Source organism: Homo sapiens, chromosome 8, assembly GCF_000001405.40.
Source record: "Homo sapiens chromosome 8, GRCh38.p14 Primary Assembly".
Classification (NCBI taxonomy): domain Eukaryota; kingdom Metazoa; phylum Chordata; class Mammalia; order Primates; family Hominidae; genus Homo; species Homo sapiens.
The window spans coordinates 94,510,005-94,525,264 of NC_000008.11; the positions used below are offsets into that span (position 1 = coordinate 94,510,005).

Genomic DNA, 15,260 nt, shown 5'->3' on the forward strand with positions numbered 1-15,260 from the left:
TTTATTTCTCAATACACATCAACTTACACAAATTTTGCATAAAACATTTAATTCCTTGGGTATAATGACAAATTCTCTGGAATTTTACAATGACTGCAAAAATTTTATAAATTCAGGTTTCTAATAATATATTTTCTTAAATCAGAGTACTTCTTTAGGATTCACCATTTGAAAATCCCAAATCAAGACCTTCAAGATATCTTGCACATGAAATGATGAAATAAAGCTTTCTAATTTTAAAAGTCTACAAGTATTCATATATTCATATGTGTGCATATGTAGGTATATGTGTATATTTACATGTATATATGTTATCTGGGCATTCCAAACCCTAGTTTCCAAATTGTAAGGGAAAAAATATATGTGTCAAAAATAATTTGAGGAAAAAATTTTTAATGCAAAATGAAAATACCTTTGCAAGTCTTCTACAATCAAATCCAACACAGTTCTCATAATCAGAAGTGCAGTTGGTGAGGCAAGGTCACACAATTGAACACAAATACGCCGTAACATATGTTGAATGGGCTGGCAGGTTGTGCCAGAGAAAGAGCGAACTATTTCTTGGAGCAACTTTGCTTGAACATGAAGGTGCATGCTCCACAATTTTCGGGTGTTGAGTGCCACTGATATATCATGTGGCTCAATAACCTGTTAAAAAAGTATAATGTGTGTGTACGTAGATTTTTTAATATTTATTTATAGTCACAAAAACTGTTCAGGAAGAAATGTTATGAAAAGAACATTTTTACTGCATGCTTAAAACATTTAATTTTCTATTATACAGTTAAACATTTGCTTGAATTCAATGAGTCTAAAAAATCTTATTGTTCTCAGGTTAGCAGTTAGTTGAGCAGAGTCCATTGGTGAAGCAATCTAGTTATTGGCAAATTCTAACACATGGTAAGGTGTGGGGGAAAGGATTTAAAATAACAGAAAAATGTAAGTACAAACATACATAACAGCAAAATAAAACTCACTTTAACAAAAATTTATTTAAAATGTTACCCCCATATTTCCTCAATGACCAACTTGTTTCAGTTTTATCTCCCCCTCATCCGGTTATTTTATGTCTTTTTGGGAGGAAGGGAGATGAGGGTTTTTGTTTTTTAACAAAATCACTGGCTTTTTAAAAAGTGTTACTGCAGTCATTTATAAGATGCATGTTATATGGAAGTGATACCTGAGTTGTTTGCATGGGCAATGGAAGAGGCAGCAGCTCTGAAAGGAGTATGAGTCCAGAAAAAAATCCTTCAGGAACCTTCAAGATTGAAGAAAGAACTTCTTTTAACATTAAAGACCAAGTATTATTGGCCAGAGTCTCTTCTGAGATTGTGAGTTTTTCATTAACTCCTTGTGTAAAAGTCAGTAAAATATCAATGATATCATTCTGAATTTTCTGTTCATCACTATCCAAACGACCTGAGAGGGGGATAGAGCACAGGAGCATATGTAAAGTAACAAGCGCTGAAGGAACACGCATGTCCTTAAACTCAAAGGATCCACCTCTCAGGAGTTCCGTTAACATAGTTTTAAGAAGAGTGAGTGTGCAGCGAGCCATTGAAATAGTAGTAACTCTGTGAAGGGTAGTCCCCATGTTGACATGGAGCCTCCAAGGCTGAGTCAGAATACTGTTCAATTTTTGCAGAACTCGAATAAACGTGTCCATTCCTTCAGCAGAAAAAAGCTGAATAACGGCAAGATTCCATTTCAGATCTTTCTGTTGACCTTTATATAGGATAAGAAAAAGAAACAAAACTAATTACTTATATGTTAATAACTGATTAAGAATTATTAAAGTGAATATTTAATATTTATGATAATTATATTTATAATAAATGATTTTTATTATGACAAATATTTAATTACTTTAATTTAAAATGATATTTTTCATTATTAAATAAATGATGTTTAATAATTAACTAAATATTTAATAAATGATATTTATTCTAGGCTTAAGAATCGTAGTTTTTAAAATACAGTAGCCACATTACCTTCAACAGGAGGTGGTGGGCATGCAACATTACAGAGAACACGTAAGGCAGTGGTAAGGCCAACTCCTTCTGGGGTCATCAAGTTATCGATATTCTTTAAAAATGAAAATGAACAGAATATTTCGTTTCTTAGTACCCATGAGATCAACAGAAAATTCCAGACAAGGAATTACTTGAAAATATGAGCTTCAAGTTAAGAACATACAATATTTTATATTTATTAAGTAAATTTAAAACATGAACAAGGCCCTAGAGTTAAATGAATTTATCAAGATTATTTGATCTCTGGCATATGTTGTACTATATACAATATTATGTAAATAAAAAGAACTGTAATGCACAAATTCACTGAAAAGAATCAACTAGAACAAAGATAACATAAAGAAATGTATGAAACTCCCTGTATTAAGAGTTTACAATGGCTACTTTCTATATACTCTTTTCATACATCTTCTCTGCCAAAAATGAAGCAATGACTATATTTAAAAAGTCCTGTGGAGGCTGAGTGCAGTGGCTCACACCTATAATTCCAGCACTCTGAGAGGTTGAGGTGGAAGGATTGCTTGAGCCCAGGAGTTAGAGACCAACCTGGGCAACATAGTGAGACCCTGCCTCTACAAAATATTAAAAAATCAGCCAGGCATGACGGTGCGTGCCTATAGTCCCAGCTACTCAGGAGGCTGAGGTGGAAGGATCATTTTAGCCTGGGAGGTCAAGACTAGAGTAAACTGTGATTGTGCCATTGCACTCCAGCCTGGGTGACACAGTGAAACCCTGTCTCAAAAAAAATAAAAATAAAAAGCGCTTTGAGTACTAAACTTCATTCAAAAGTGAGGAAGCAGCAAGGAATGTTTCTGGCCTACATGGCATACATTTTTTTAAATGCAGATACCAACAGAGTCTAGTATTGTAGCCAGGTGGGGCACAGGTTAGAGGAAAAACAAATACAATTGCCTATGTCCTTAGCACCTGCCTATGCTATGTTTCTAGGTAACAAATAGTTATGTTTCAGTTTTCTTAGCTTTCACAGAACAGCATTATCAATTGTTTAAAAACTTGGGGCTGGGTGTGGTGGCTCATGCCTGTAATCACAGCACTTTGGGAGGCCATGGCGGGTGGATCACCTGAGGTTGGGAGTTTGAAAACAGCCTGGCCAACATTGTGGAACCTTGTCTCTACTAAAAATACAAAAATTAGCCAAGCGTGGTAGCACGTGCCTGTAATCCCAGCTACTTGGGAGGCTGAGGCAGGGAATTGCTTGAATCTGGAAGATGGAAGTTGCAGTGAGCTGAGATTGAGCCACTGCACTCCAGCCTGGGCGACAGAGCAAGACTCCATCTCAAAACAAAACAAAACAAAACAAAAAAACCTTGGAAGAAATAACATTCAAAAAACGTTACTATCTCTTAGCTCATAGTAGAGTCTAGACCAAAAAAAAAAAAAAAAAAAAGTTACTACCTCATTTTAGCTTTTCTTTTATTCTAATCCTTTTCCTTGTAATTCCACAAATTACATAAGGCAGCAGGGAGACACAGAGTGAAGTTTCAGTCTTGGATCAACTTTTTATAGACCATGTTGGGATGAGAACCACTTATAATATCATAATTAATGGGATAAAGATTTACATAAAAATCAACTCTTAACTACAGCATGTAATTCACATTTCTAGAACTAAATTTCTTACTGATTAAATAATTTTACTCAAACCATCGCCATTTATTGAACATCTTGTTAATACTCACTCAACCATGCACAAGTACCCAGAATACATGACCATCTAAATTTACAGGATATTAATTGTACTTCTCCTAAATAAAAGAAAATGTAATGAAAAGTTCTAGATGTCATTTGAGGCTCAGAGTAAGAACACGGAAGAATATGATGGCACCATAGGAAGTAAAAGTACTCTTAGGAGAGTTGGAGTACAAGAAGACAAAGGCAGAGAAATCAGTAAAGAAAAATCTGAAGCAGATAAACCCAAAAAACACTTTGCTGTGGGTCCCAACAGCAACAAATTAAACAATATACAAAAATTATTTTAATAATATACACTGCAATTCCAAAACCAAGATGGCTTATATACTCTCTCTCTCTCACACACACACACGCAAACACACGTGCATGCATGCGTGTGCGCACACACTCACGCACAGATTTCACCTGCGAAATGAGAGAGATAATTCAAGGTCCATTCTGCTCTTCTAACTTGAACTTTTTATGTGTATATGAGTGCTTCTAACCTTCTTCCTATGCTACACGATGGCTCGACTAAGGAACAGAGATGAAAAAACTTCCAAGACTAATAAACACTGCTGTAATTTTTTTCATTATGAATTATTTAAATTGAATATAAAATTTTAAAACTGCATTATGAGTCTTAGGAATTTTAACTGTTATGAATTATTTCAACTGCAGATTCAACCATACCAAATTAACAAAGAGAACTTGCCTCCACTGCAATTATCTGGAATGGGCCCTATCAATTTTCACCTAAATATTTTGAGTGAAATTCTTTTTCAGAAATTAAAGTTTAGCTAAACAGTTATATGTTACATGACTACAGCATTTAAAACACTTATAAATGTCATCAAGATGGTAGGTGATACTATTTCCATTTCAGAGGGAAAAAATAGGACAGAATCCAGTAGTGAAAAGTAGTACAGTACACAGGGTTATGTGCACGTGTGTTCACATATGCATATAATCGCACGTCCATCTATATGCATATACCAACCTGTACCTACAAAGTCTAATAAATCAATCAAGGACACTTAACAATGTCTACATTATCTACACAAGTGATTCAATGCAGTATCACCATGTACTACCACACAGTTTCAAAAAGTCAAAGCACTTTTAAGTTTTACACTTACCTGCTTAACATACTCAATTAAGTTTGGGATGCAGTTAATTTCAAATCTAAGGTTTTTCAGAGGTTCAAGCCACTTGCCAAGTTCTTAAAAAGAAAAATAATTTATAATATTTAAAAATAGAAGGCTTTATAACAAAGAAAGTAAATATTTTTTCCAAAGAAAATCATTATTAGGTCCATGTTGATTTCAATCATCTAAACTTCATGCAGGGATGGACATGCATCTAATTCTTTTTTTTTTTTTTGAGACGGAGTTTCGCTCTTGTTGCACAGGCTGGAGTACAAAGGGCGTAATCTCGGCTCACTGCAACCTCTGCCTTCTAGATGCAAGCAATTCTCCTGCCTCAGCCTCCCGAGTAGCTGGGATTACAGGCGCCTGCCACCACACCTGGCCGATTTTTGTATTTTTAGCAGAGACGGGGTTTCACCACGTTGGCCAGGCTGGTCTCGAACTTCTGACCTCGTGATCCGCCCGCCTCAGCCTCCCAAAGTGCTGGGATTACAACTTGTATCTAATTCTTTAAACAAGTTTTTCATTCTGTTGCCCAGGCTGAAGTGCAACAGTGTGATCACGGCTCACTGCAGTCTCAGCTTCCTCAACTCAATCAATCCTCCTGCTTCAACCTCCAAAGTAGCTAGGACTACAGGCGTGCATTACCACATCTGGCTAATTTTTGTATTTTTTGTAGAGATGGGGTTTCACCATGTTGCCCAGTCTGGTCTCAAACTCCTGGGTTCAAGTGATCCACCTACCTCAGCCTCCCAAAGTGCTGGAATTACAAGTGTGAGCCACCGCGCCCAGCTTAAACAATTTAGTTTTAAAATGAAAGAAATGCCTACTCTTAGTTATCTGGTTTATGCAAATTTAGATGTTTACATGCTTAAATAGTCTATATAATTAAAATGAATTTTTATAACAATTTACAACATTAAAAAATTACAAAATAGGGCTGGGCGTGGTGACTCACGCCTGTAATACCAGCACTTTGGGAGGCTGAGGCGGGTGGATCACGAGATCGACAGATGGAGACCATCCTGGCCAGCATGGTGAAACCCCATCCCTACTTTAGTCCCTACTAGAAATACAAAAACTAGCTGGGCATGGTAGCACGCACCTGTAGTCCCAGCTACTAGGGAGGCTGAGGCAGAAGAATCACTTGAACCCGGGAGGAGGAAGTTGCAGTGAGCCGAGATCACACCACTACACTCCAGCCTGGAGACGGTGCGAGACTCTGTCTCAAAAAAAATGTACATACCTACAAAATAGACTGCTTATAAATTAATGTAACATAGTGTTTATTCACCTATCTCTGCCACTGCCTCTCACACCCACCCAAAAAAAGTATAAACAAAATTTATTAATTTCTAAAGGAATGAAACCCAAGGGGAGATATTTTGCTGAGTGCCTTTTCCTCTAACATGAAATTTTAATTCTGTCAACTTCCAAATTTGCCTTTATAAAATTACTATCACCCCAAAAGAATGACAGCAAACTTTGTTTATAGAATAAACACAAATACAATCTGCCATTTACTGCAAACAAACTCAAAACTCTCCCAGAAGCTATACCATAACTCCTATATTCTATCACCAAAAATGTTTCTAGAAAAGCACTCCAATGTAAAAAGTGAAATACCAGTTCCAGATGCCATATAGGAAATAGAAAATAGTAGCCAGGTCTTTCCTTGGTTCTACACTCCTCCACCAGAATTACAGCTGTACAATTTTCCCCATGCATTTTAAAATTAAATCTTTCTTATATATAGAATATATAGCTCAAAGATATAAGAAATAATAATAAAACAAATACCAGAATACCCAACACCCAGAAAAAGTACTAAAGCACTAATAATACCTTTGAAGACACTGTGTGCCCTCCTTTTATAAACGCATTCTTCAGGAAAAAAATCTATTCCCAGAATGGGAAGTTGAGTTTACTACCCAACTTTTACTGGAGCTATCACAAGTAAAATTTAGGATTAAAAAGAAAAGAAGAGGCCACATGCTATTTTAAAGCATTTTTACAATATTTACTCAACGTTATCAAATTTTCTACTTGATAAGGTCAGAAAACGAGGAACCAAAATAAAATAATTTAAAACTTATGATTAGGTATATTAAACTTGTCAAGGCTGCCCACATAAGGTTTCCCATAAATGTCATTCGATACACATTTATATACTTTAAAAAATAATATTCATATTTACTATTATTTACTTTTGAGGATAGCACAAATGTGTTACTCCACAACTAGATTTCTAAGTTGTAGTTTGTGTTTTATGTAGAAATACATACACAGCAAAACACACAAAGGAAAACTATACCCAAAACTAAACTTTTGAGTCTTTTTTTTGAGATGGAGTCTTGCTCTGTTGCCCAGGCTGGAGCACAGTGGTGCAATCTTGGCTCAGTGCAACCTCCACCTCCCAGGTTCAAGCAATTCTCTTGCCTCAGCCTCCCGAGTAGCTGGAACCACAGGCGTGTGCCAGCACGCCCAGCTAATTTTTGTATTATTAGTAGAGATGGAGTTTCACCTTGTTGGTCACGCTGGTCTTGAACTCCTGACCTCAGGTGATCCACCCGCCTTGGCCTCCCAAAGTGCTGGGATTACAGGCATGAGCCACCGCACCCGGCCTTGAGTTTGTCTTTAAACTCTTCCATTTTGATTAGAAATTTCAACAAACCACCAATTTTCATGACTTTCCAGAAAAGGTACTTGTAAAAACTATTTTGTTTATATACTAAAACATTTTATCAACCTTTAGTTTTTATAAACTGTCTTCATAAAAAGTAATTTCAGGAAGTTAAAAACAGTATTACTAGGTATATTATCGAAACATGATGAAGGACTAATTACAGATATTCAAAGGTTTGTTCCTTCACATATTACAAATGCTTAAAATAACTTTAAGTACCATACCTTGCAATTTAGCATTATTTTCATCTGCTTTACAAAGCTTCAAGAGAGATGCTGCATGTTGTTCTAGCATTTGAACATCACTGGAAGACTGAACCACCACCAAAATAAGTATGCATGCGTAATTATAAGCTACTGACTTCTTAGATTTGGAATCACTGAAACAAAATAAGGTTTTTAAGTTTTGGATACAAAAACAATTTTTTAGGAACAATTTTTAAAAATTTTCTTCTACTTGGCTTTAAAGAGATCAAGGACATTTACAATAAAACATGACTAACTGTCTGAAGACAAGAAATCAGATTTTACAGTTCATATCCAATTCACCTGAAACCATTACTTTACTTAAAAGTATATAAAAAAGCATACATATCACCATGGAAAGTAAAATTCTATTAAGAAATAAGATCAGAAAAACAATGAAATATTAACAAGTATACTTCATTAGTAATGAAAGGTTAGGAAGTATACTTCATTAGTCTCCTTCAAAATATTTGTCCAATCTGGATAAATAGGAACGAGTATGATCACCTGCCTTCAACACTCAGTATTCCACTATAAACCTGTTAAGATACAGCTAGGCATGAAAGTCATTGCTGTTTGCTTTTCATAAGCACCCCACAAAAGATCTGTCACTCAAGGAGTTATACACCCAGTCCTCATAGTGAGGGCAGTTATCTGGATGCCATTTGCCTTGTGTGACATGAACCAGAAATAAGGCATGTCTTTCTTCTCATATAATAAAACCCTCTGCCTTACCAAGAAGGCTCTTCAAACCATTATCATTCTCAATTTACCCATCTAGTCAAAGCAATTCTGAATCCAGAGCATGGTTTAGAATGCAAGGGCAGGAGCCAGCAAGAAAGTGTAAGAGGAATAAAAGGAATATATACCTTAAGGTACGTATTCCTGTGCCTTAGAATTCCCCTCTGCATAAAACAGCAGGGGGTACTACAGTTGCAATCTTTAACACCATGGGTTAACTGAAGGAAGGTGCTAAAGAGTCCACTGTATTACTTTATAGCCACATCTTATATTTTAGAGATTTCTGTCACTCTAACCTTTAATTAACAAGTTTTGTGTTATATCAAAACTATAGTTTTTCCCTCTCAAAATAACACCTTCTTTTAAGAAACTAGACCATTAGTTAATCTGATTTTCTAACATCATAGAAAATTTAAGGAGTAAGTAGGAAATTACCCCAAGGCTTCTTTGGAATAGTACTCCATTAGAGTAATAAGACTTTGGAGATTTTTCTCCAGACTAAAAACATGGCCAACAGCTGATCTTCCCACAGGATTAAAAGTAATCAAATAAAGATTGTGCAGGGTTCCCAAGAGATCTGAATGGTCTGTTTCTTCACTGGCTGTACAACGCTGAAAATGGCTGAACAGTTCTGTAATACATTGCAATGTCTGTGTTGAGTCCTGTAGCCACAAGGCAAATGCATCATCAATAACACCATCAGATTGGAGACCTTCCTCCTCATCTTGATCATAAAAGTGACACAGAGCTCGGATCAATAAATTTGTTGCTTCATATTCCGACATAAAAAAAAGAAGACCCTTCTGTGACTGTGCAAGAAACTTCAAAACATCTTTTGTGGCTTGCAGCACACCAGGGTGAGCACTTGTTACTGGAATTGACAGAAGCAAGGTAACCAACTCCAAGAAGTGATGACTGTGAAGATATCTGTGGAAGAGTTAATTGATACATGTCAAGTCAGTGCAAAGCATTCTTCATTTACTCAATATTCAGACAAGACACTGATAAAAATTTTTAATGACCATAATCCTTATCCTCAGTAATATACTGCTTTAACTGAAAACATAATGTGAGTGGCAAGTCTTCTCTAGATGAGGCCAAATAAGAGTGAATGTTCTGTGAGGCTTTGTCCTAGTTAGCACTCAACAGATGTTAAATAAATAATTATTGACAAGCTTTTCTTTAAATTTTGGGCCTTCTTTCCAGGACACTTATCAAATGCTCCTTTTTCACCATGGTCCTACTTTATTCATGGCATATTGGTATATTTAAATTCATGTATCTAGGAAAAATATAGTATATACAGTCAGCACTCCGCATCTGCATTTGTGGATTAAGCCAACTGCAAATCGAAAATATTTTTTAAAAGTGCATCTGATGCCAGGTGCAGTTGGTCACACTTACAATCCCAAGCACTTTGGGAGGCCGAGGCAGGCAGATCACTTTAGGCCAGGAGCTCAAGACCAGCCTGGGCAACATGGCAAAAACCTGTCTCTACAAAAAATACAAAAATTAGCCAGGCGTGGTGGCGCATGTCTGTAGTCTCAGCTACTGAAGAGGCTGAGCCCAGGGAGGTCAATGCTGCGGTGAGCCATGATTGCTCCACTGCACTCCAACCTGAGTGAGACCCTGCATCAAAAAAAAAAAAAAAAAAAAAAGCCTGGGCTGGCTGTGGTGGCTCACACCTGTAATCCCAGCACTCTGGGAGGCTGAGGCTGGAGGATCACTTGAGCGCAGTAATTTCACACCAGCCTTGAGCAATATAGTGAGACCCTGTCTCTAAAAAAATTTTTTAATTAGCTGGCCATGGTGGCCCATGCCTGTAGTCCCAGCTACTTGGGAGGCTGAGGTGGGAGGATCGCTTAAGCCCAGGAGGTTGAGGCTGCAGAAAGCCAAGATCATGCCACCGCACTCCAGCCTGGGCTAGGTGAAAGAGCAAGACTCTGTCTCAAAAAAAAAAGACAGAAAAGAATGTATCTGTACTGACCATGTACAGACTTTTTTCTTACATCATTCCCTACACAATAATAGTATAACAACTATTTACAGAGCATTTATATTGTACTATGTATTATAAGTAATCTAGACATGACTTCAAGTATACAAGAGGATATGCATAGGTTATATGCAAATACTACATCATTTTATATTTTATATCAGAGACTGGAGCATCCTTGGATTTTGGAATCCAAGGGAGGTCTGAGAACCAATTTTGCAGACAGTGAGGGATGACTGTACTATAGAAAAATATAGTATACTCAGATTTACTACAGTAGACTGAATTAGTATCTCTAGGGAAAAAGCTTTCAAATTGTCAATTTTTAACATTTAAGCAGTTAGTATTACCACACATAGCACTCTTTTATGAGACGAAATCTAGCTATGTTGCCCAGGCTGGACTCAAACTCCTGGTCTTAAGCAATTCTCTGGACTCAAGTGATCCTTTTGCCTCATTCTCCCTAAACTCTTTTCCAAAATCTACTTTTTTATCTCTTTTTTTTTTTTAAATTTTTTAGTTCTGGAGTACATGTGCAGAATGTGCAGGCTTGTTACATAGGTAAACGTGTGCCATGGTGGTTTGCTGCACCTATCAACCCATCACCTAGGTATGAAGCCCACATGTATTAGCTATTTTTCCTGATGCTCTCCCCCAACCCTCTGTTCTCCTTCAACAGGCCCCAGTGTGTGTTGCTGCCCTCTCTGTGTCCATGTGTTCTCACCGTTCAGCTCCCACTTGTAAGTGAGAACATGCAGTATTTGGTTTTCTGTTCCTGCATTAGTTTGCTGAGGATAATGGCTTCCAGCTTCATCTATGTCCCTGCAAAGGACATGATCTCATTCCTCAACTTTTTAAAAATGAAACTTAACCAGATTTTAAAGAAAAAAGAACCAAAACATCGTATTTTTTCAAATACTCAAAAATGGGGTAAAAATCTGTCAAAACATCTCTTGACTACAAGATAGAACCAGCTTAATGAAAACTTCTTAATTTTTAATTATTAAGAATATCATAATTTTCTGAAAGTTAAAAAGAATAAAATTATTTATAATTCTGACTCATTCTCTTCCATTTTAGTCACTGCAAATGGTAACACAATAGCTTTCATAAACCCATCAAAATACTACTAAAAAGTAAATGACAGGCCAGAACTTAATTTTGTCAAAAGCTGAAACTGCTTCTTCAGTCCTATTACTATTTAAACCCAGGCTTCTACTTCACAATAATAAACACCCACCAGTAACTGCTTACTACAAAGGCAAACAGAACCTTCAAGAAGACAAAACTCCAGAATTACTATGCTCCAAGAGCATCCCCCTTATGGACCATTCAGAGAATGGTTAAAATAGCAAGCCTCAGACTGCACATCCTTAGAGGTCTGCTTGCAAGGTTGGCTACTGGCTAACTTCTGGGAACTTAGATTTCAAGAGGATTCCCGCACCCCTAACTGATAAGAATGGTTCCTTGTGCCTAAATTATTTGTGCAAACAATATGGTTATGCTGAACACCTGCTTTCCTTCTAGGAGTCTGGAATTCTGGTATAAGATAGGCAGTGAGTGCCTACATGACTACCCACAATAAAAAAATTTGCATGCCAATTAGCTTGATATAATTATTCCACAATGTATACATGTATCAAAACATGTCACTGTTGCTATTTAAAAATAAAAAATAAAAAAGCCTGGGTGCCGAGTTTCTAAAGAGCTTCCTCAACAGGCAACACTTCACACATGTCACAACCTGTTGCTGTGAGAATTAGGCAGGCACTATGTGACTCCACTGTGAGAGGACTCTGGAAGCTTGCAACTGGTTTTCCCAACTTCCTCCCAGGTACCTTTTTCCTTTGCTGAGTATTATATGCTGAGTTTTGTGAGTCCTCCTAGAGAATCTTGGTGCTCTTGGGGAACCTGACATAGGACAATAGAGCCTTGCCACCACTTCAAAAACAAACCCTCCAAAGTACAATTATTTTTCCTTTCAAAATTCACTCTCCTTCCTAATTTACCAGTTTCTGTCAATAAAACCACAGCTCCAATTGCTACCCTGGCTAGAAATCTCTAGCTTCTTCTCACTTCCCTTCGCCTACTAGGTCCTGTTGCCAAGTCCTAGTACTATTATATAATATAATGGCTATTTCACAATCTCTGTCACTATAAGCACAATATTTGCCTTTCCATTACCTGTTAAGGGCAAAGTACTTAAAACCCAGTACCTAGAAACCTCAGACTATCTTATCTTCCTAGTAACTCTAATTTCTTTTCCATTGCAATACATCTTGCAACACAAAATCTGAGAATATTACTCTGATCATATCAGATCTGCTACTCCAAAATATTCAATACCTTTCCATATTCTACAAATAAAATCCAAATTCCTTAGCACAACCATTCTGGGCCCTTTATTTCCTCTTGTCTGATACCCAAATATACCTCCTCCATATGGTGGGAAAAAAACACTCAGTAAGTATTTAATTACTAGCTTCTTCTCAGTGACTGAAAACATCACCTATTCTACTAAAAATAAAGTTGTTAGTAAGAAGTATTTAAATTTCTTTACAATCTCCAAGACTACAAATGTATTATATTTGCATACTTACAAGATTCCCTTTCTCCTGCCCAAAACCAAACTCCTACACTTGTACTCTTGTCCTCATCTCCCACCAAGCCTTGCCCCAGGAATTGTTATTGTTTACTCCTACATCATAAACATCTCCCTCTCCACTGACTTTTTATTATAAATGAGTCATTATTCCCAGCCTACAAATATGCTCAAGCCTCTCCCACTCCTAAAAAATAAAAACCTTCCTTTTTGACTCCAACATCTCCTTCTAGCTGCTGCCTTGTCTCTTACTTTTTCTCTTAGCCAAATTTCTTGTTTTGAGACACAGTCTCACTCTGCTGCCCAGACTGGAGTGCAGTGGCACAATCACAGCTCACTGCACCCTTAACCTCTCAGGCTCAAGCAATCCTCCCACCTCAGCCTCCTGAGCAGCTGGGACTACAGGCGCACACTACCATTCCCAGCTATTTTTTTTTTGATTTTTTATTTTCTGTAGCGGTCTCCCTATGTTGCCCAGGCTGGCCAAATTTCTTTTTTGAGACGGAGTTTCGCTCTTGTCGCCCAGGCAGGAGTGCAGTGGCACGATCTCGGCTCACTGCAACCACTGCCTCCTGGGTTCAAGCGATTCTCCTGCCTCAGCCTCCCGAGTTAGCTGGGATTACAGGCATGCACCACCACACCTGGCTAGTTTTTCTTTTTTTGAGATAGCATCTCACTCTGTTGCCCAGGCTGGAGTGCAGTGGCCCGATCTCGGCTCACCAGAACCTCCAACCTCCCGGGTTCAAAGGATTCTCCTGCCTCAGCCTCCCAAGTAGCTGGGTTTACGGGCACATTCCACCAAAGCCCGGCTAGTTTTTGTGTGTGTCTGTGTGTGTGTGTGTTTTTGTTACTTGTTTATTTATTTTTTTGAGACGGAGTTTCGCTCTTGTTGCTTAGGCTGGAGTGCAATGGTGAGATCTCAGCTCACTGCAACCTCTGCCTCCCGGGTTCAAGCAATTCTCCTGCCTCAGCCTCCCAAGTAGCTGAGATTACACCCATGCGCCACCATGCCCCACTAATTTTGTATTTTTAGTAGAGATGGGGTTTCTCCATGCTGGTCAGGCTGGTCTTGAACTCTCGACCTCAGGTGAACCACCTGCCTTGGCGTCCCAAAGTGCTGGGATTATAGGCGTGAGCCACCATGCCTGGCCGGTGTTTGTTTGTTTGTTTGTTTGGAGACAGAGTCTCACTCTGTAGCCCAGGCTGGAGTGCAGTGGCCAGATCTTGGCTCACCGCATGCTCTAACCTCCAGGTTCAAATGATTCTCCTGCCTCAGCCTCCCAAGTAGCTGGGATTACAGGCGCCCACCACCACACCCGACTAATTTTTGTATTTTTAGTAGAGACAGGGTTTCGTCATGTTGGTCAGGCTGGTCTCGAACTCCTGAACTCAGATGATCTGCCTACCTCAGCCTCCCAAAGTGCTGGGATTACAGGCGTGAGCCACCACACCCGGCTCTAGTTTTTTATTTTTAGTAGAGATGGGGTTTTGCCATGTTGGCCAGGCTGGTCTCAAACTCCTGACCTTAGGTGATCCACCCACATTTCTTAAAACAGTGGCCTACACCATTTCAAATCCTTACTGGCCAGTGGTTTTTCATCTACACTTCCTCTCCCACTGCTACATTAAACTACTTTTGCCAGAGCCCCATTTGCAATCTATGTTACAAAATACATGATTTCCTATCCTTATCTTCTGAACCTCTGCACAGTATCACAACAAACCATTCACTGGTTCCTAAAACTATTTGCTTCCTTAGTTTCTATTCTCTCCTGCTTCTCATTTTGTCTTTCTATTCCTTCTAAGTATCCTGCCTAAATGCATTCTCTGCCCATCTCTTACATATTACTGCTCCCCAACCTCCCATCACTGACCCATTGATTTCCCAGTACACAATCTGTGAGGGTTGCCAGTATCTGGCCTCAAGTGTTCACTTTGGGCCTCTCTACCTTTCTTTCTCAGGGTTCCCCCCAAAGGGATTAAAGGGTGCTCGGACCACAAGCAGGAACAGCTCAGAAGCATAAAAGAGTTAAAAGTTTCTTGTGGGCATCCTTGAACCAAAGGGGAGAGTTGGTAGACGAATGCCCAGCCTGAATGTTTTAGGAGGATAAGCAGGA

General features: G+C 38.3%; 1 protein-coding gene across 4 annotated transcripts in view; it reads right to left on the minus strand.

The window, feature by feature from the left end:
• VIRMA (vir like m6A methyltransferase associated) overlaps positions 1 to 15,260 on the minus strand; it is a 65,781-nt gene that overhangs the window by 22,316 nt on the left and 28,205 nt on the right. For 3 of the 4 annotated variants that reach the window (NM_015496.5, XM_047421677.1, XM_047421678.1), the window contains 6 exons: positions 8,981 to 9,472; positions 7,784 to 7,938; positions 4,865 to 4,947; positions 1,992 to 2,085; positions 1,181 to 1,725; positions 413 to 648 (listed from right to left, as the gene is read on the minus strand). In NM_015496.5, coding sequence (NP_056311.2) covers positions 413 to 648; positions 1,181 to 1,725; positions 1,992 to 2,085; positions 4,865 to 4,947; positions 7,784 to 7,938; positions 8,981 to 9,472 — 1,605 coding nt within the window. Of the gene's footprint in view, positions 1 to 412; positions 649 to 973; positions 1,726 to 1,991; positions 2,086 to 4,864; positions 4,948 to 7,783; positions 7,939 to 8,980; positions 9,473 to 15,260 lie in introns of those variants that run through there. The other variant, NM_183009.3, reaches the window with a different exon arrangement.